Below are 21018 nucleotides of genomic sequence, written 5' to 3'. Positions count from 1 at the left end.
GGGAGAGGAGCAGATTGAAAGTAGGACAAAGGACATAAAGGTTTGGACATGATATACTTAACTATGAAGTAGGCAGTTGAATATACAAGCAGAGAACTATGAAAACTCTGGTCTTCAGAGGTATAAATATGGGTAGGATAGATACATCGATCAGATACTAAACTCCACAGAATCATGCAAAGAGAGTGTAGAGAGAAATAGTGACCCAGAGGTCAGGTACTCGAAATGGAGCTAGGGATGGAATCAGAAATGGAGCAGCCAGAATAGGTAAGGAGAAAACCAAGAGAATATTTCAAGGAGTCATCAACCTTTCTGCATGCTCCTGAGGCAGTGAGTGGGGGCAGAAAAATAAACAATACATACGGCAGCATGGAAGACAGTGGTGATCCTAACAAGAAAAAATTTTAGGAGTGTTGTGGGAACACAGAAAGTGGCAGTTAAGTCAGAAGTGAGGAAACGGAGCATATATGAGCAGAAAAGTCACACTGGCTGTAACTGGGACCAAACAAATAGGGTTATAGTTGGATGAATAAAGTGTCTAACCCCTATTTTTTCAAGAATAGTAGCTACTAGAGTCTATTCATAAACTGTTGGAAAGGATCAAGTAAAAGAAATATTGATGAAACAAGAGAGCAACAGGAAGTTCTTAAGGAGATGGGCAGTGGGGGGATGGAATCCAGAAGAGGAATTTGTTTTTACTAAGTAGAATACAGTGCAAATACAAGCAGGTTTATTGATTTGGTGGTGAAAAGTTGAAAGGGTTCATGTCGTTTTTCTTTTTCCTCAGCAAAATGTGGTTAAAGGTCATGAAACGAGGGATGTATGTCATTTAAGCTTGAGAAAGCAAGTTACCAGAAAACTATAGAAAAACTGCCAGGTAGTGTTGAGTCTACTTAAGTTTTGGGATTACCAACCTATCTCCTGGAATAATTTTCTTCCATTCCACTGCTGAAGAGTAGACAGACGGTTTGAGGATTTTTCAGGATCATGACAGAGGGAGAGGTGTATGGTCTGAGGATATTTGCAAAGGAGTGCGTTTAACAATGGGATCTAGCTAGTTTCTAGGCTGAACAAGCTGAGGACAGGAGTAAGCTGATGAATAGTCAGCAAGTGGTAGTAATAAGGTAGAAGTATTCTTTTAGCAGAGATATCTTGAGCAGGTGAGCTACAAGTTTGTGGCCAGAAAAATAAATTGAATTCAAGATTTGGAAGTGATATGGGGTTTGATTGTGGCAAAGTCATTGAAGAACACAGGTATTATTATCATTTTCTTCATTGACTGGTAGTGTTGGAAGATATAGATTAAAGTAAGTATTTTTTAAAAAACTGTTGTAAAGAATGGGCATGTGAAACTTTATGATCTGGGTGTCTTTCCGATGAGGTGACATTTAAGCTGTGAACTGACGGGATATGGAGTCACCCATAGAAATAAGAGAAATAAGCATTCCAGATAGGCTTTGAAGTGGGGAAGGAAGGTTACTATGCGTTCAATGAAATGAGAAGAGTGGGAAATGGGAAGTAGGATAAGAATGTTTAAAGGCAGGGGCTTCTGGCAAGTATGACTGGATTTTAATCAACGTTTAATCACAATTACTTGAAATTCAATGAGCATTACTTGAATACCGGGTAATATTCAAAACATTAACAACCAATACAGCAAAGGAATCAACCCATTGGGATATATAAATTGATCAATCAGAATAATCACCATTTGCAAACAGCTGATACAATTGAATTGGTGTACACGTTGATTATCAGTCCTGGTTGAATAAATGCCATTTGAGATCAGCATTTCCCAAAGTGTGTTCTTTAGAATGCTAGTTCAGTGGGATATAACTAAGTATTAACATTAAAAGAAGAAAAATGTTCTCAGGGTCAATTAAGTCTGGAAAATTCCCTTTCAACTTTTTACATATTTACAGTAGAACTTTTGTCTTTAATATGCAAACATGCATTAAATTATTTAAGAGAGGCTGGGTGTGGTGGCTCATGCTTGTAATACCTGCACTTTGGGAGGTGGAGGTGGGTGATCACCTGAGGTCAGGAGTTCAAGACCAGCCTGGCCAACATGGTGAAACCGTCTCTACTAAAAATATAAAATCAGCCAGGTGTGGTGGTGTGCACCTACTTGGGTGGCTGAGGTAGGAGAATCACTTGAACCTGGGAGATGGAAGTTGCACTGAGCTGAGATTGTGCCAAAACTACAAAATTAGCTGGGTGTGATAGCATGCATCTGTAGTCCCAGCTACTGGGGAGGCTGAGGCAGGAGAATCACTTGAACTTGGGAGGCAGAAGTTGCAGTAAGCCGAGATCGTGCAACACTGCACTCCAGCCTGGGCAACAGAGCGAGACTCTGTCTCCAAAAAAAACAAAGAAAAAAAAAGAGAGAGAGAGAGAGAGAACTACAGCACACAATTTAGAAAACTTATTTCATCACAGCAATAACCTTCCACCTGCCTAGTATCTCACTACAATAAACATGCTGAAACAGGCTGCCTTAGACATTACTTTTTATTATCTCTCTTATCCATTAGTCTCTTCCCCAACTTCGTTAGCCTTTCTTCTGGCTCCCATCATTTTTTGCCTGGACTATTTTAGGTCCCCCTAATTAATCTCCAACTTACTCAATTTATCCACTATACCATGACAATTATCTTTCTAAAACTGATACTGATTAAATTGTTCAATATACATGCATCCAATAACAATTTTCAAAAACCAAAATAAAGACTTAATACAGCATACAAGAACACTCCTGATCCCACCACCCATCTGCTTCTTCAGCTTCACCTTCTTCAACTTCCTATCTTTCCAAGTGGCCCACTGGCAATACCGCAATTACGCTCTACCCCCAAGTCTGGAATTCCCTTGTCCCCCTGAACCAATGAGCATTCATTCATCTTTCAAAACTCATATTTTCTACAAAGACTTTCCCAACTACCTACCTCCTTTTCCAGAAAAATAGGGCATTCTTTCTGATGTCCCTAGGTATAGTATTATTGTACTTTCATATTATCTACAGCAACTGTGACTGCTCACTTGATAAAAATTTGCCTTAAAAATATGTCTAGCCCTTTAAAATAATAATGTACCTATGTTAAATTTAACACCGTTGAAAATTTCAAAAACTGTTACATTTCACTTAAGGTGATGTATTTTGAATAATACAATTCTGACCTGTAATATGCAAACTTTGCGGGTTCAGAAGAGGAAAAACTCCTACTTTTTAGTGATGAAACTTTAGCAAATTTAGGCTGTAGAAGATATCTCAAGACAATAGGCTGGGGAAAAGTATACCATGAAAAAAATATATTTTATGATTTTTTAATACTTAGACATTACATTCCGTATCAAAATTTACCAACATGCTATTCTATAAATTCATGTCTTTTTACCATAGTTTGATTTTTTTTGTTTCATGCTAAAAAGCCCACTCTCATAATTACCTTTAGTATACATTACCTGGAATATAAAAATTTCATTAAATGTTGGCAAACTCTTCCCCATGACATGTAAAACAATTAGAAATGTCTAGTTATAAATTTTCTTAAGCTAATGAGCAAAAGAAAAGCCCCAATACATTGGCATTTTCACTTAACAGTGGCTCATAGTTACAATGATCAGAAATAAACCTACTTGCTACTGTGCTATATAGGGCAGTTTTGCCAAGTGCCCACCTTTAAGAGCTAGGTCAATTTCTAAGAAAACTGTATGGAAACATTCAGTTGTTAACAAAAATTTAATATTAAAATTACTCAGTTATTTAAATTATTGTTAATTTAGGAAAAAGAAAACCCATGTATTAATCACCCATAAAATAACTTTTATTTTAATAAATAACAGTGGGCTCACCAAAGGGCAGGGATTTTAACGTGTCAGGTTTTATGCTTATTGGTAGTAAGTCTTAAACAGGTGAAATGAACTATTCAATAAAACCCAAAAGGCCCTAAAAATAAAATACTTTAATAATAAAAATTAAAAAGAAATTTCCAAAAGAAAATAGTTCACTCCTTGACCATGCTTATTTATTCAGAGTACCAGCGATTTCAGTAAGTGCTTCATTTTTCCTGCAAATCTGATGTTGCACAGGGAATGTACACATTTTCATACCATCACAATATCATCAATATCTCAGGCCAATAATATTGTGAATGCAACTGTTTTATAACAAACACAAAATAAAAAAAAACAATGTTACTATTTACGGCAAACAGAAACAAAAGTAAATATTGCAAAGATGTTTTCTTATGTTTCTACTACTGATTTTAGTTGGACTTTAAATGAAGGTCATCAACTCTCCTGGAATAACCTCTACCTCTCGCTGTGAATCCACAGTATAAATATGGTGAATAAAGCTAAACTGTAAGAGCTAACTATATACTGAATAACCAAAATAATTATAACTAATACTGTTCTTGAAGACCAATCTAATGAAAAAAGTATCATTAGATATGGTGAGAAATACAGACAAATCTGTACAATCTAACATCTATAAACAGTAAAATCAAAACATCCAACTTCCTTATAGAAAGTGTTTTATCTATGTAATTATAAATGTTAAGGACTCTTGTATTTTATAAACACAAGATGGGCTCACTTTGATGATATCAATTTTAAGATTTATAAAAATGTTTAAAAAAATCTTTCCACAAAACTTTATACAGTTTAAAGCTATACACCAATCTATAAATCTCAGAAAATGGAAAACAAAACAAAACAAAAAATCTTTATAAGATCACATGTATAAAACAAGAAATGAAATGTGATTTTATTTAAGGCAATACTGGGCTACTTCACAAATCACCACCTCAAATATTTACACTGCTCCACACTACTAGTTTTCTATCACATTCACAAAGGATTTTTTTTTAATACCAAATGTTTAAAATCTTCAATGTAGTAAATTCTTTATTCACATTTCCATTGTATTTCATGGACTCATAGTAACTATATCCAATTAGAAGCAATGAAAAAAAAAAACTGTAGCTATAGGAAACTGCTAGAGAATCTGCTTTAATTTCACATGAATACCACCCCAAAATCCTGGATGGCAAATTTACAAAGCAGAGCAAAGTGTTGATATAATGTGCCTATTTTGTGAAAAGTAATCTTGATATCATCTTGTAAATAAATGTTTCATGTAAAAATCAATGAACTATGGCAGAGTTTCTGGTTTTAGTTCAAAAAGTTCTTAATTTAAAACAATAAAAGAACAATTTAAAAAACTTGATCGCTTAGTTAAAAATTAAAATTCCAAATATAAATGTGTCATTTAATAGTTTAGACTTACAGACTGCTGGTGGCAGCACATGATTTACAATAATAAATATATACAAAAAAGGTATCTACAAATAAAGAGTACTGTTATACATGAGCAGTGACCTGGTGAAACATACCAATCACACAGATAATTGTTTAGTTCATGAAAAGGGCAACTGGGTGATAGAAATTTGAGGTTTAGCTCACTATTTACAATAACTGAAGTACTGATTCTGTTCCTCAAGTCCCATAGGGATAAAAAAAAGTTTTACATGACAAATGTCATGTTTTTTTTTTCTTTTTTGTTTTTGGCCAGGTTAATTCATGTCAACAACAAAAAAATATAATGAAAGTTTCACAATTCTAGCATGCTTGATGGCTTCCTATTTAAAATAAAATGGTAAATGATGTATTTATACTACATTAATTATCAGTACTGACCTCTGCCTGTGGCTTTACCTATACTGATATCTTTCATAACAGACATATCTGGATCATTTGAATGTACTTCAAGTTTTTTCAGACTGACGGTAGGTTTCATTTCCTGAAGTTGCTTTAAGACAAGCTCAGTGCAATCTTTAAGATTCTTGTCTAAAACAATTTTTACATTATCACTGCACTGAAGCTGTGATGGATTGGCAAACTGTACAAACGTTTCGCTTTCTTTACAAGGACATACATGATTTCCACTAGTCACAGCAGTCTTATCAATATTTTTTCTTGAATTTGAATGGGATCCTTTTTTGTTTCCAGTATTCGGATGGTCTTTGTCAGTATTTTTCTTCTGCTTCACTGCAGACTCCTCAAGAAACTTCAGAAATGATACTTCAAATCCCATTGGCTTAAAAGAGCTCCAGTCAAAAGATGCAGGATGCTCCTCAATGGTTTGAATGGCAACAGCAGTTTCTTCTTCTTTACGCACGCTACTTAACTCAGCTGCTGATGCTGGTTCAGCTTTTTCAACTTTCCTTTTTTTATTTTGTGAGACATTTTTTTCCTTATTAACTCTCTTCAAATTACTTGCTTTTTGTCTTTCTGACTGGCAGAGGTTATCTTCCTGAAAATCATTACTTACATTTGAAGAAGTATTAGCTTGGGTCTCTACACTTGTGCTATCTTCATTTATTAATTTTGTAATAAACAATTCTGTTAGTTCATCCATTTCATCTTTTTCATTTTTTTCAACTTCCTTTTGTGAAACTGTAGCTGTTGTTCTTGAATTATCATTGCTCTCTGATACACACGTGTCAGAATCTTTCACATCATTCTTAGCACCTTCTTGCTCAGACGTTTCCTTTACTTGTGAGTTGCAACACCGTTTGAATACAATAAGAAGATTTCGGTGTTGTGATGTAAATGCCTTAGATAATTTATGGCACTTATAATGTCTAATTATATTGCTTTCACTTGTAACAACTGAAGTACATCCCTTTATCATACATGGATACTGGGTTACAAATCTGCTTGTACACTCAGACAGGGCATCATTTCTAGCCTTTATAGAATATACATGCTTCCCACGTTTCAGAGAATAAGGCTTATTTTCTTCAATCTGCACAATCTTTGCATTCTTGTTTTCTAAATTATTTTTTTTCTTTCGTTTGGTCTTGGGCATTTTTATTCCTTCCTTTCCACATCTGCTGTGCTTGGTCCCCCGATGTTTAGACTTTGATTTTTCTTGGTTTGCCTTGCTTGACATATTTTCCTGGCCTGGTGTTAATCTTCTTGGACGAATCAAATGAGCCTTATGTTTGTCATTATGCTTATTAAAAATGTGTCGGAGGAGATTCGACCGGGTTGCATATATACGGTCACAGCCTTCACAATCACATTTGTATACACCATCTTCTTCTGTTTTACTTGCCCTTAGTCCAATCCCGTGGTCTGCCTCTAGATGAACAACATAGTTCAAATATGTAGTAAATGAAGATTTACACTCTAACTGGTCACATGGAAACTTCCCAACATCCACTGAAGCAGTCATACTTTCAATTTCTTCAGGAGTCATTTCATGAAGTTTCATGTAGTGTTGTATTAGGCCAGTAATTGCTTGGAAAATTCGAGAACAGTCACTTACCTGACATCGAAATTCTTTCAAAGTTTGTTTAGTTTCAGTTTCTTCACTTTCTTTACCAGCTTCACTTTCCTCTTCGACCTCTGCTGAAAATGCAGGTAGATCTGATTTGTGTACAGCCTGGTAATGGAGAATCAAGTTTTGCTGTATCGTAAAGGCAGCAAAGCATCCCTGGTGAACACATCGATAAGGTCTGTAAGGACTGTATCTTGTTGGAAACTCAAGGGATTGGGAAACTGGCTTCTTTCGTTTTTTCTCCTCCTTTTCTTTTTTATGCCTCCTAATCTTCCGTCCTTTGGTTTGTGTGTTTGTGAGTGCATTTGTATTACATTGTTCTGAAGTAACTGTAATCACTTGTAAAGAACTTTCTGTTTTGTCAGGACTTTTTTTTTCTACAAGTTGTTTTTCTGGGATCACTGCTACATTACTGTGGGTATTTTGGGTCTCTGCTCTCAATTCTAAAGCAGGCTGAGATTCCTTTTTATTTTCCTCTGTCATAGCTAGCTGTTTTTTCACTTGTGTACTTCGTGAGGCCGGCACATTTTCACTCTGAGATTTTCTTCCATAAGGCCTTTTAATTTTTAACTTTACCATTTCTTCAGTTGTAAAATGATGCACCAACTGACAGTGTGCCCGGAGGTTAGAATTTCTTGTAAATGTTTTTGTACATGTAGGTACTACACATTTAAAGGGAGCAAATTTCAATTGATTCTTCTTAATTTCAAGAATCATTTCTGGAGTGTATTGATGAATTTTACCATAGTGCTTAAATAGTGCATCCTTTGTCATAGCACTGTAGTTACAGCCTTGGTTTTGACACACAAAGGGTTTATTAACTTTGTCATTAAATTGAATGTTTATCATTTCAGAAACTGGCTGAATAACTGTGATATCTGCAGTTGATTTAACAGGCGTGGGAGTCAGTGTCACTGATGTATTTATCAGTACACATTGGGATGCTGGAGTGGATAGGTCATTTTCTAATTTTAATTTCTGTAAGCCTTCTAAAATTTCCTGTATTTGATCCTCCTTATGTGATACTTCAGACTGAGGAATGTTACTTTTTGTTGGCATGACACTTATAAAGGAGGAAAACGGAGAAGAATCGGGTAATTTGTTATTTTGCACAGTGTTTACTGAAGGAAGCTGAATGTTATAATTTATTTGAGCATTTTGTGAAGTTTCACCAGCACCCTGAGATCCACTTTTTACCTCAAGTATTTGAGAATTCATAGCAGTTTTAATAATTTCAAGAGTCTTTTCAAAGTTTTGTATAACATTGTCTTCAGAAATCTGCAAATCAGAATTTATTGAAGTTGTGCATGAATTCAAAGCCATCATTTGGGAATCACCATTTTCAGTTTTTAATGTTAAAGGGGCTAACACTGTATGGGACTCAAGACTGGTTTTGAAATTCTCTTTTACATCAGTCATAAATAACTGATTGTTAACATTATTTAATTTCTGTGTTAGATTTTCCACCAAACTCTGAGGTTCACAAGTTGGAATTACATTTGAATGAAGGTTAGTAGTTGGGATTTCAACACTCTTTGCTATGAGTCCCATTGTTGTTAAGTCACTTGTTACCAAGTTTTGGGAAGCGTTAGGTGCAATTAGTGGAGGAGCAACTTTCTTTCTTCTCTTAGAAGCACTGTTTCCCTTTTTATTTAAATGACTGGATCTTGTGTTCTGAGGACCACTTATAACAGAAACACGAGAACTGTTACTGGTAAAATTTTGTGATGGCCCACCAGAATTAGGAAATGAACTAGAGCACAAACCATTTTCAACAGTCTTCAGTAGTAAGTCATTCGTTGGAAAAACAGGCAAGCTGCTACATTCCTCAATGGAGGAAGTTTTGGAGTTTGACGTCCTATTCTGGTTGGTCAGCAAGGTGTTTGGATGGCATACAGTGTGCAACAGGGGTGGTACAGTTGGATTTGGCATCACCGTTGCATTTACTTGTGATGCATCAGAGACACAACCTGTTGAAACATGAGAAAGCATTTCGGCACCCTCAAATGTACTGGGAATGCCAGCAGTTTCCAAAGCCTGTTTAATAATTTCACTACCTTCTTGACTGACACTGGTATTAAAGTTAGTCACACCAGATCGAGGAAATGTATTTGGTAAAAATGCTGGCGAGCGATTTTCAGCAAGAAGCTGTAGAAATGATGGATCTTTAAAACATGCTTCTGGATTGAAGGTAGATTGTTGTGGCTGCTGCAAATTTACTGCATTTGTGGAGAGAATCATGCTGGCAAGAAGAGAAGGCTGTCCATTACTCTGTAGAAGTTCTTGAGCAATTTCGGCTCCATCCAGTGGTTTACAGTAAGATCGCTTGGATAAGTGCCCACCCAGTGATCTGGGATTAGTAAAAGCCCTGTAACACCTGCTACAGATAAATTTCCCATCTCTGATAATTGCAGGCCATTTAGCCCTTTTGTTGTGCTTAGGTTTTCTTTCCTTCCCATTTGGGCCCCGCCCACGGTCTTTTTTAACTTTTTCAGGTGCAGACTGTTGGGCATTGGTGCTACTGAAGTTATTTGCAACATTCACTTGTGAAGGAAAAACTGCATTTTCACCATTACCCCCCTTTAGAAAGGAGGAATTAGTGTTTCCTTCAATCTGTGAGGAATAATGATTTGTATTATTTTCCAGTTGGGAAAAAACAGAATTAGTCCCACTATCTGCTGGTGAAGGGAAGAGAGACATTGAACTACTTTCTGCAGGTAAAGGAAGGAAAGGATCTGAGCCACTGTCAATATTCAAAGGCAGAACTGTTTTGGTTAGATCTTCCATTTGTGCTGGCAAGGCAGTACTAGGTAAATTTTCCATTTGGGAACATAACATACCACCTTGTTCATTTTTATCCTGAGAAGTTATATTTGGATTTATGACACTTTCCATTGAGGACAACAATGGAGTTGACACACTTGCTAAATGAGCTGGAAAAATGGGTGGCGAGACATGCTGCAACTGGGCCGAACAAGCAGGATTCCCATTGGCTTTGGTCTGTGATGTAAAAAATGGATTTGAGCTGTTCACCGGTGATGGCAAAAAATAAACAAACTTTCCATTATTTGGTGTATTTAAGTTGTTAGCTTTCTGACCTTTTTTACTTTTGCGCTGCATTTTAAATGCAGCATATTGGTCAGGGTGTGCTGTCTTCATGTGTTTCCCAATACTCTGTGAAGAATTATAGGTTCGAGTACATCCCTCGACCTGGCAGCTGAATTTCTGAACTGGAGCTTTTGGAGGCACTGATGGAGTTCCTAATGAATTACTTAGGTCGGACTGCGGTGGAACAAATGCAATACTTTCTAATGTCTTAAGAGGTAAATTATAAAGATTGGATGATGTTTTAACATTATCTCCACATTCAAATTTGGAAGTTGGTAAATTGTTTTGAAATGCTGCCTGATTTTGCACAGAAAAGGTCATCAAGTTGTTCACTTGTCTTTCTAAGTTTTGTGGGGTAAGGTCACCTATTTTGAGAGTTTCTGAATTTACTAAAGAATTCTGAGTAACATGGGCATCATTAAAGCAATCTTGTTCTTTTCTCTCCTGGAAACCTGGATGACACAAATCATTACAAGTATCTTCAACTGGCGTATGTAAGTCTGTGACCAGTGCTTCACCACTGCCTTCCACAGTTGAGTTTTCTTGCTTTCCAAAGTTATCCTCAATCCCCTGATTGAGAGACACCTTAATGGACACAGCTACTTCACTGGATTGAAGTAGAGGAGTAGTAGCAGGGTTTTCCAAACCATTTGACAATGGTCCATTAGCTTGCCTGAGCTCAGAGGCAGAAATCTGGTCTTGTTTGGTCACAGCTGATTCTGCTTTGCTTTTATCCCAAGCATCACTTCTATCTGCTAGTAAGCTGTTTTCAATGTTATTTTCTGAAGGAAGCATAGATCTTTCTTTCTCAATATTCTCTGCTGTGTTCTGATTCACTTCAGAAGGCTGAATGGAATCTCCAGATGAATTAAGTTGGGCTTCAGGAGGCAGCACTTTTTCAGGAGGAGTACTGTGATCATCCAGATGCTTTTCCAGCTCACCCTGAGAACGATAAACTTTACCACAACCTGTGAACTTACAAGTGTACGTATTATAATGTTGTGCTTCATGATCATATAGTAAATAAGCTTCCGAAAAAATTCTTCCACATTTAGGAAACATACATTTTGCTCTAAAGACTTGATGCTCCTTTCGGTGGGTTAAAAGCTCGGCGTAACTATTAAAACCAGCTTTACATTTCATCTGTATACAGATATATGGTTTACTGCCACAGTGCATCTGTAAGTGATCATTGAGATGAGTAACACTCACAAAATGCCGCCTACAGTACTGGCAAATAACTTTTTTGCTCTGCATTTCAAGAAAGCGCTTGGCGTCTTCATTATCTTTATGCCCCTTCACATGAGCAATTAAATTTTTAAAGTACTTAAAGCCCTTTTTACAAAAAGTTACAGGGCAATTAAATTCATTAACAGGTACTGGTTTCTGGACTGGAATCACTTCTGGCTCATAGGATTTATCTTTGTCATCATTCTCATCATCTGAACCATCATTGTCATTAAACACTATAAAATCTGTTGAATAGAGACTATTCTTTTTTATAGGTCGCTGCTCCTGTTTAGCCACAGTATTAGTCTTCTGATTTTCATTGGTAGTTGTGATCTTTGGAGGCCTTCCCAATCTTCTTAATGGTTTCATAGCTGCTAGTCTCTCTTTACTAGATTGTTTAACATGCAGTGTGACATGAGGGACAAAAGTTTCTTTAGAATTAAAGTTCTTTGCACATATGGGGCAACTATAAATTCCATCTTTGTAATGTTTCTGAGCATGTCGTACTATTCTGTGACCAAGGAATTCTTTGTCACACAACACACAATACTGCATGTAGGCTTGCCAATTCCTAAACCGAGCAGATATAAATCCCCTCTCTCTTAACTGTTTTATCTCTCTCTTCTTCTGCTTTTCATCACCAATGTCTTTAAGAAGGCCAGAATTAGCACCAACTCCACCAGAAAGCCCATTCATAGAAGTTTCTTTACTCTCTTCTTGGTAGTCTACCACTTTTTCATATACTTCACTGTCATTTAGTTCATCTATTGAAGACACAATGGATGCTTCTTCTCCCATTAATGCAAGACATTGTCGTTTCAAGGTTTTCCAATCCCAGAATTCTGGATCAAAGGGCCATTGAGTTTTCAATACAAGTAACAGCTCACAGCGTAAAGAATTTGGTATTGGAAGATTCTCTTCATCATATTTCTGGTCTGGCTGATTATACAACATTTCCACAGCATAATACGCATCTACTGTAGGCTCAATAAGAAATTCACTCAGTTGACAAGCACGTTTAACTTCCAGATCATCAGGCAACAAACATGAAATGGTCTTGCAAATAGATATTTTCACTTCAGTATTTTCTGTAGACTCCAAGCGAAGAGCCTTTACACACAGTTCTATACAGGTAGCAAGTCCAGCCCCTTCAGTCTGTGAAAAAGCAAATAGGAAATGTTAATTTAATCTACACTAATCAACACTAATTTATTTCAGAATTTAGTTAAGATTGAGATTTGTTTTACTCAAATCTTGCAATAGCAACTTATGAAAGGATTCCCCTTCTAAAGCACTGCAGCTTAGTCTGGTATGTGTGTATGTAAAATGAACTGCATAGAAGGGCAGAAAATGTTTAAGTATTAGAAGCTAAGACTTTGGTATGGAATTATTTAATGGCTAGGCAAACTTGGAAGTTATTTGACTTTTCTGACCTTTCCCATCCCACTTATAAAACAGAGGTCAAAACAGCACTTAAACTTCATTAAACTGCTGTATTAAAGGAGATTAAATATGTGTTATAGTTTAGTATAATGTCTGGCACATAGTAAATGATCAATAAATGTCATCCTTATTGTAACTCTTACTTCCTGTTTGCATAAGCAATCTAACTGAAACAAAACCCTTCTAATCTAATTATAAAACTGAGAACATCCCCATATTTCCAAACTGATCAGTACTGAAAGAAATAGTTTGCTTCTATAAAATAAGGTACTAATCCCTAATAGTGGAGATTCTAGTGCTATCATAAAACCAAATGTCAAATTACCTACCTCATGGCTGGACCAGCTTAAGAATTAGGAGTAGGGGTAGACATAGCCCAACAAACTTTTTCTTTTGAATTAGCATCTTGAACTATTATTATTAGATAGCAATAACAAAGGTAAGTCATTTGAAAGACACATGGAGTAAAGAGATAAAAATGGGTTTTAAAGACCAGAAGGGAACAATGATAAATGAGAAATAAGATAGCCACAGGATGTGGCCACATTCACTGGAATAAAATATGTACGATACAGGATCAAAAGGCAACAAAGAAAATAAGTAGAGAGAACTGATAGGGCCTCTATTTTCATTAAGTTAAGAAGAAAATATTTTACTAAATCAGAAGCTTAAACTTGTAGGGCAAAAGTATTTTAGTATTTTTACTAAAAAGGAAAAGGAGCCTGGGATACTGAATTGGTCTTGATTTTAGAAACAGCAAGAGCACAATGACCAAAAAGAAAATGAATAGAAAGAAAAGTATGAAGAGACGTATTTTTAAAATGATAGGTTAGGCTGGGTGCGGTGGCTCATGCTTATAATCCAAGCACTTTGGAAGGCCGAGGCAGGAGGATCGCTTGATCTCAGGAGTTCGAGACCAACCTGGGCAACATAGGGAAACCCCCATCTCTATAAAAAGTACAAAAATTAGCCAGGTGTGGTGGTATGCAGCTGTAGTCCCAGCTACCTGTGGGGCTGAGGAAGGAGGATCGCTTGAACCTGGAAGGCTGAGGCTGCAGTGAGCAGAGATCGCACCACTGCAACAATCCAGCCTGCATGACAAAAGTGAGACCCTGTCTCAAAAAAAAAAAAAAAAAAAAAAGGCTGGGCATGGTGGCTCATGGTTTATGCGTGTAATCCCAGTGCTTTGGGAAGGCAAGGTGGGAGGGACTGATTGAGGCCAAGAGTTTGACACCAGCCTAGGCAATACAGAAAGACCTCATCTCTATCAAAAAAAAAAGAAAAAAAATTAGCTGGGCATGGTGGCATGTGCCTGTAATCCTAGCTACAAAGAAAGCTGAGGCAGGAGGATTGCTTGAAATTGGGAATTCGAGGCTGCAGTAAGCTAGGATTGCACACTGCACTCCAGCCTGGGCAACAGAGCAAGACCCTGTCTCTTAAAAATAATAATAAAAAAATAAAAAATGACAGGGAAGATGAAAACTGGGAAGGAAGTGGGACCATATGGGTGTCTCTTGATTTCATATAAACTTGTATATGTTATACTATTCCTAGATAGATCTGTGCCTTAAAACTTGTACAGTAAAACATCTGCATCTCTGTTACATGCCTTAAGGGGCTGCTAATGGTGAACAATTAGGCCACTCCTCTATTACGATATGCAAGAAAGAAAAAAATCACCTGTGGTCTGTGAAGCTGCATACTACACACAGAAAGACACAAAGAAAGAAGTCTGGGAGGAATTAAGGGCCAAGTAAACCATAAAGATGATTAAAAGTAATACTGAAGGCACATATAATAATGTCAGAAGAACTGGTACAAGTTCTTACTGGTGAAAGTTCTGAGAAGCAGTGTGATTATTCAGAAATTCAGGAAATGATGGAGAAATTTTAAAAAAGGATTAAGAGAGGCCTGGTGTGGTGGCTCACGCCTGTTAATCCCTGCACTTTGGGAGGCTGAGGCAGGTGGATCATGTGAGGTCAGAAGTTTGAGACCAGCCTGGCCAACATGATGAAACCCAGTCTCTACCAAAAATACAAAAAATTAGCCAGGCGTGGTGGCGGGCACCTGTAATCCCAGCTACTGAGGAGGCTAAGGCAGGAGAATCACTTGAACACGGGAGGCAGAGGTTGCAGTGAGCCGAGACTGCACCACTGCACTCCAGCCTGGGCAACGAGAGCAAAACAACGTCTCAAAAAAAACACAAAAAACAAAAAAAAAACAAACAACAAACAGAAAGGATTCAGAGAATGAAGGATTTCTGGATGAAGGGTATCTGTCTTGCAGAATATAACTATTTTATATCATATGAATATTGAGCCTTTTCTCCAGGAATGGCAAAAGCTGATTAAAGAATTCTACTTATTGCTCACAAGACACATCTAAAATTATTTAAAAGGGGAATTCCACTGACATTCTATTCTAATCCAGTCTGCAACTAAATTCAAAGGTTCATTTTGATTCATTAAGGGTGAGGAGCCTCAATAAATTTGCTTTAAAAACATTTTCATGTTATAATTAAACCTGAAACCTTTACATTAATGACAATGAAACAAAAGAAACTATATTTTACAATTTTTTTTCCTTCTGACCTTTCATGTGTGTACTTGAAAATAAGTGAACAGGCAATATTCAAATCATAAACTGGCTATACAGCAGGTAAGTTTTAAAAGTTGAATTAAAATTCACAACAATTTTCTATAAAGACAATGTAATTAAGTGATTTGCCCATAAAAATCTATTTAATTCATAACAGTTAATCACAAATACTAATAGCACAAGCTTAAATTGATGAGTCACAGGAACAGAAAGCTAAGTGACATTAATTCAGAGGAGGAACAGAAACTCAATCCCTTTCCAGGAAAAGAACAGCACCAGGTAAGTTCTGGAAAACAGAAAGGTTTGTCTTTTGTACCCTCTTCCCATTGCCTTTTCTGTTCTTTCCCTCTGGCTGCCTAGTATCCTTGACCTAAAGCCACCCAAGGCTTGCATGTTGCTTTCAGTTTCCCATGTAACATCCCATTCAGTTCTTCCCTGCCCACTCATAACATCATGCTTTACCCTGTTTTAAAACTCTTTAAATAATTACCATGTATTTCAGAATGAAATATAAACCTTAGTGTGGAATACGAAAAGGACTTCACAGTCTGACCACTGCCTCATCTGTTCTAGTTTCCTCTTTTATCTTTCCCTCTACTCAAACAACTGAGCTACCTGTAGTTCCCCAAATATTCCATTCTCTCATTTGTCTTGATACTACTTTATGTGTTTTTTTCTGTGACTAGGAACACTCTCTCCTCCCTCTTTAGCCATTACTAAGTGAGTAACGAAAATAGACAAGTGGGTTATTATGGCCCACTTCTTTTATTCATTCAGCACCTACTTTATACCAGGCACTGCACTAAGCAATGTACCCTCACTGGATATTCAAGATTCCACTCTAGTAGAAAGACCCATATAATATTGCTACTGGTTTTGAGTTTCCATCAACAGACTACAAAATCCTTAAAGGCAGGGATGTATTTTTCAACTCTTAAACCTCAAGGAGTCTAGTGAAGAGTATACTATATAAATAAAAAGATCCCAAGCCATCTGCTCCAATTCCTTTGCAGATCTCAATTAGGATTTAAGACATTAATTACAGTTGTCCTTTAGAATCTGGGGGCATTGGTTCCAGGATTCCTGTGGATACCAAAATCCACAATGCTCAAGTCCCTTATATAAAATGGCATAGTATTTGCATACAAACTATGGACATCTTCTCACATAATTTAATTCATCTCTGTATTACTTATAATACCTAATACAATGGCTACATATTACTTCATTTGCATAGATTCAATACAGTACACTTGTGGCAAACTCAAGTTTTGCTTTTTGGAACTCTATAGAATTTTTTTTTCCTTTTCTTTTTTGAGACAGGGTCTCACTTTGTCACCCAGGCTGAAGTGCAGTGGAGTGAACCTGGCTCAGTGGCATGATCTTGGCTCACTGCAATTTCTGCCTCCCAGGCTCAAGTGATCCTCCCATCTCAGCCTCCTGAGTAGCTGGGATTACAGGCACACACCATGTTTGGCTTATTTTTTTTTTTTTGGTAGAGATCAGGTTTCACTGTTTTACCCAGGCTGGCTCAAACTCCTGGGTTTAAGCCTTCCAAGGTGCTGGGATTACAGGTGAGCCATCACACCTGGCCCCTGAATATTTTCAATCAGTAGGTGGTTGAATCCACTGATGTGGAACCTATGAATATGGAGGGCCAACTGTATTTTAAATTAACATATGAGTAGCTGGTTGATAGTCTTCAATTCCTGGAGTTTTTTTTTTTGTTTTTTTTTTTTTAAGGGTTACCAGTTGGCTGGGTACAGTGGCTCACGCCTATAATCCTAGCACTTTGGGAGGCTGAGGTGGGCAGATCATCTGAGGTCAGGAGTTCGAGACCAGCCTGGCAAACATAGTAAAACCCTGTCTCTACTAAAAATACAAAAATTAGCTGGGCATGGTGGCGTCCGCCTGTAATCCTGGCTACTCAAGAGGCTGAGGCACGAGAATCGCTTGTACCTAAGAGATGGAGGTTGTAGTGAGCCGAGATTGCACTACTGCACTGCAGCCTGGGCAACAGAGGGAGACTCCATAACAAAAAGAAAAAAAAAGGTTACCAGTTAATTCAAATCACTACATCGAGGTTAACCTCTCTATATGGAAAATGAAGAGAGTTATTACACCAGAATCTAATCACTATAGCTTAACTTTAAGGTCTCTTCAGTCCTAAAATAATAATAATCTATGATTCTAGTTTTAAGATAAAACCTCTGCTTGATCAGATTTCAGAAAGTAGAAAAAAAAAGGGAAAAACATTTCATGCAACAAGAAGCAAGGTTTTTGGACAGAGCAATTACCATGGTGCATACTATCCCTGTCAAGAAGGCTGCTGCGAAGGTCATGTGTGGTGGCTCATACCTGTAATCCCACCACTTTGGAAGGCCAAGGCACGGAGAATTACTTGAGCCCAGGAGTTGGAGATAAATCTGGGCAATATAGTGAGACCCCATCTCTACAAAAAATAAAAAAATTAGCCAAGTGTGATGGTACACACCTGTAGTCCCAGCTACTTAGGGGGCTGAGGTGACAGCATTGCTCAAGCCTGGGAAGTTGAAGCTGCAGTGAGCTGTGATTGCAGCACTGCACTCCAGTCTGGATGACAGAGGAAGACTCTCTCAAAAACCAATGAACCAACAAAAGCAACAACAGAGAAGAAGGCTGCTGCCATGGCCAACTTCCAAAGCTATTCATACTTTTAACTGCTTTTTTATATACTCTAATTCTGAACCCAAACTCTCTGGAATAGTGTTACCCAACAGAACTATTAGTGATAACAGGAATGTTCTATATCTGTGCTGTCCAGTAGGATTGCCACTAGCAACATGGAGCTACTCAGCAACTAAAATGTGACTACCATAATGGACAATGCAGCTCTTGTCCAGTATTTTGCACCCCATCCTCTGGCCCACCATGGTCTCTTTATGAGTGGTGAGTAAGACTGAAGAAGGATGGTCACTTTTACCTAACCTCCTCCATTCATCTGATTTAATAATGAAACCTATGGTGATTAAGGTCAATTGCAAGTCAAGATTTATAGCCAGTTTGGCTTCTAGTTCCAAGTTCTTTCTACTCTACTCTGTCATGCTGCTCTTTAAGTTAGTGGCACAACCTATGATTTAAAACTGCATAGTAGTTTCATAGGAAATTTATTATTGGCCCCTTTCAGGTTTTTGTTTGTTTTGTTTTGGAGACAGGGTCTTGCTGTGTTGCCCAGGCTGGTCTTGAAATCTGGGGCTCAAGTGATCCTCTAGCCTCAGCTTCCCAACTAGCCTGGGACTCAGGCGTGCACTCCCATGCCCAGCTACTTTATTTTTTAACTGCAGCACCACAATATATAAATGAAAAATCAGGACAAGTTAACAAGGTTGACAGAGGAAAAACTGGAAAGCAGGATTCATTCATATTCTTTCCTCCTGAAAATGAAATTATTTTTAGAAGAGAAAAATGAAGATACATCTAAGACTTACTGACCAATGACAGATTTTAAAAGGTACTTATAAAGAGGGATAGGGAAGTATCTTTTGGTCTTTCCTTTCAAAAACAATTACAAAATACAAATAAAAAACAAATAAAAAATTCACTTAAAAATACTTCTTGTTATCATGCTGCATCTCAGTTTTTAGATTCTACACAATGGTAGCACCTTTGGAAGGTGTTTCCTATGTACATTTAAATGGAAATCAACTGCATTTCTACAAAGGTTACTATAAGAAAATCAGTAACTTTATGAAACTTGAGTTCTGATTTATTAATACTTAATAGTAAAAAATAAGTGGAAGCACATATACAACCTCTGTTCATTAACTCCCTCTTCAGTTGTGTCTAATCTGTATAATCCATCTGCTAAAATTTTCATTTCGATAACTATGTATGTTTATTTCCAAACGTTCTTTTGACTCTTTTTACGATCTGCTTGGTCATTTTGATACTTTCTCATACTTTAATTCCTAAATTTTAAGTGTTTAAATACATATACTTCCTAGATTTTTCCATAATTATATTATTTAAAGTATTAGGCAAGTAATCCTATTATTCCTTTGCTGAAAATCACTCAGGTCAGATAGTTTTGTATGTTTATAAATCTTAATGGTGAACTCATGTTAAAGCAGGGCTTTATGAGACGCCTGTGTTGACAATATGTCCCTCCTAAAGCAGTTCTGCATTTTCTTCTGCAGGAATCTTAGGTATTCATCCTCACCTTCTTAAACATTAACTTACTTGGCATACGGATTTCTGAACTACACAGCTAGGGTAAATGTGGCTCCCAAATCTGTATGAGGGTAGACTTGTAGTTATAACTTCCTAAAGATTTTCCTCCTCTGACCCAGAGTCCAGTTGGACATACCTAAAATTCCCTACCATCCATATGTGTTAGACAGTATTATTTTTCTAGTCTACCTTTTCAATAAAATTAAAGTACTTCACAGGTTCCAGCTTCATGTAGTGATTGTGCATGCATGCATGCATGCACGTGCGTGCGCATGTGTGTGTGTTGCGGGTGGCAGGGGGCGGTGGTGAGGGGGTGGTTGTTTCAGATCTACCTACCCAAGTAGACAAGAAGAGCTGGCCCAAGATCTTTTTTTTTTTTTTTTAAGACCAAGTCTCACTCTGTTTCCCAGGCTGGAGTGCAGTGGTATAACCTTGGCTCACTGTAACCTCCAGCTCACTGTAACCTCCACCTCCTGGGCTCAAGCGATTCCTGTGTCTCAGCTTCCAGAGTAGCTGGGACTACAGGCACCTGCCACCATGAACAGCTAATTTTCTTTATTTTTAGTAGAGCATGGTTTTGCCATGTTGGCCAGGCTGGTCTTGAACTTCTGGGCTTATGTGATCCACCCGCCTTGGCCTCCCAAAATGCTGGGATTACAGGCGTGAGCCACCATGTCCGTCCGGCCTGCTTTTTGTTTTTGAGACAGGATCTTGCTTGTCACCCAGGCTGGAGCGCAGTGGTGCAATCTCGGCTCACTGTAATCGCTGCCTCTGAGGTTCAAGCCATCCTCCCACCTCAGCAGGGACTACAGGCAGGCGCCATCAATTCTGGCTAACTTTTGTACTTACTTTAGTAGAGATGGGGTTTCATCATGTTGGCCAGGCTGATCTCAAACTTCTGACCTCAAGTCATCCGCCCACCTTGGCCTCCCAAAGTACTGGGACTATGGATGTGAGCAGCCTGGCCTGGCCCAGGATCTTATATCTGTATAGCTATCTCCTGTCCCTGTGTAGATATCAAACTTCCAACTACTTAGTCACTGCAAGAAGCAACATATCCCAATCTCCAGGTTAGGTGAGAC

At 37.6% G+C, this 21018-nt stretch overlaps 1 protein-coding gene across 12 annotated transcripts in view, besides 1 other annotated feature; it reads right to left on the bottom strand.

The window, feature by feature from the left end:
* The window catches only part of ZNF292 (zinc finger protein 292), a 110379-nt gene continuing 90908 nt past the window's right edge, over positions 1548–21018 (bottom strand). For all 12 annotated transcript variants that reach the window (XM_047418459.1, NM_001351444.2, NM_015021.3 and 9 more), the window contains one exon: positions 1548–12841. In XM_047418459.1, the coding sequence (XP_047274415.1) occupies positions 5690–12841 (7152 nt within the window). In that variant the 3' untranslated portion in view covers positions 1548–5689. The remainder of the gene's footprint in view (positions 12842–21018) is intronic.
* Positions 9448–9974: an enhancer, noted in NCBI's record as "OCT4-NANOG hESC enhancer chr6:87967235-87967761 (GRCh37/hg19 assembly coordinates)". NCBI's record gives its function as "activates a minimal SCP1, AML or CMV promoter by ChIP-STARR-seq in naive H9 embryonic stem cells {active_cell/tissue: H9 hESC(naive)}" and the evidence as "EXISTENCE:reporter gene assay evidence [ECO:0000049][PMID:30033119]".

This window comes from Homo sapiens, chromosome 6 (assembly GCF_000001405.40).
Source record: "Homo sapiens chromosome 6, GRCh38.p14 Primary Assembly".
Classification (NCBI taxonomy): domain Eukaryota; kingdom Metazoa; phylum Chordata; class Mammalia; order Primates; family Hominidae; genus Homo; species Homo sapiens.
This window is presented reverse-complemented; position numbering and strand designations above follow the sequence as displayed.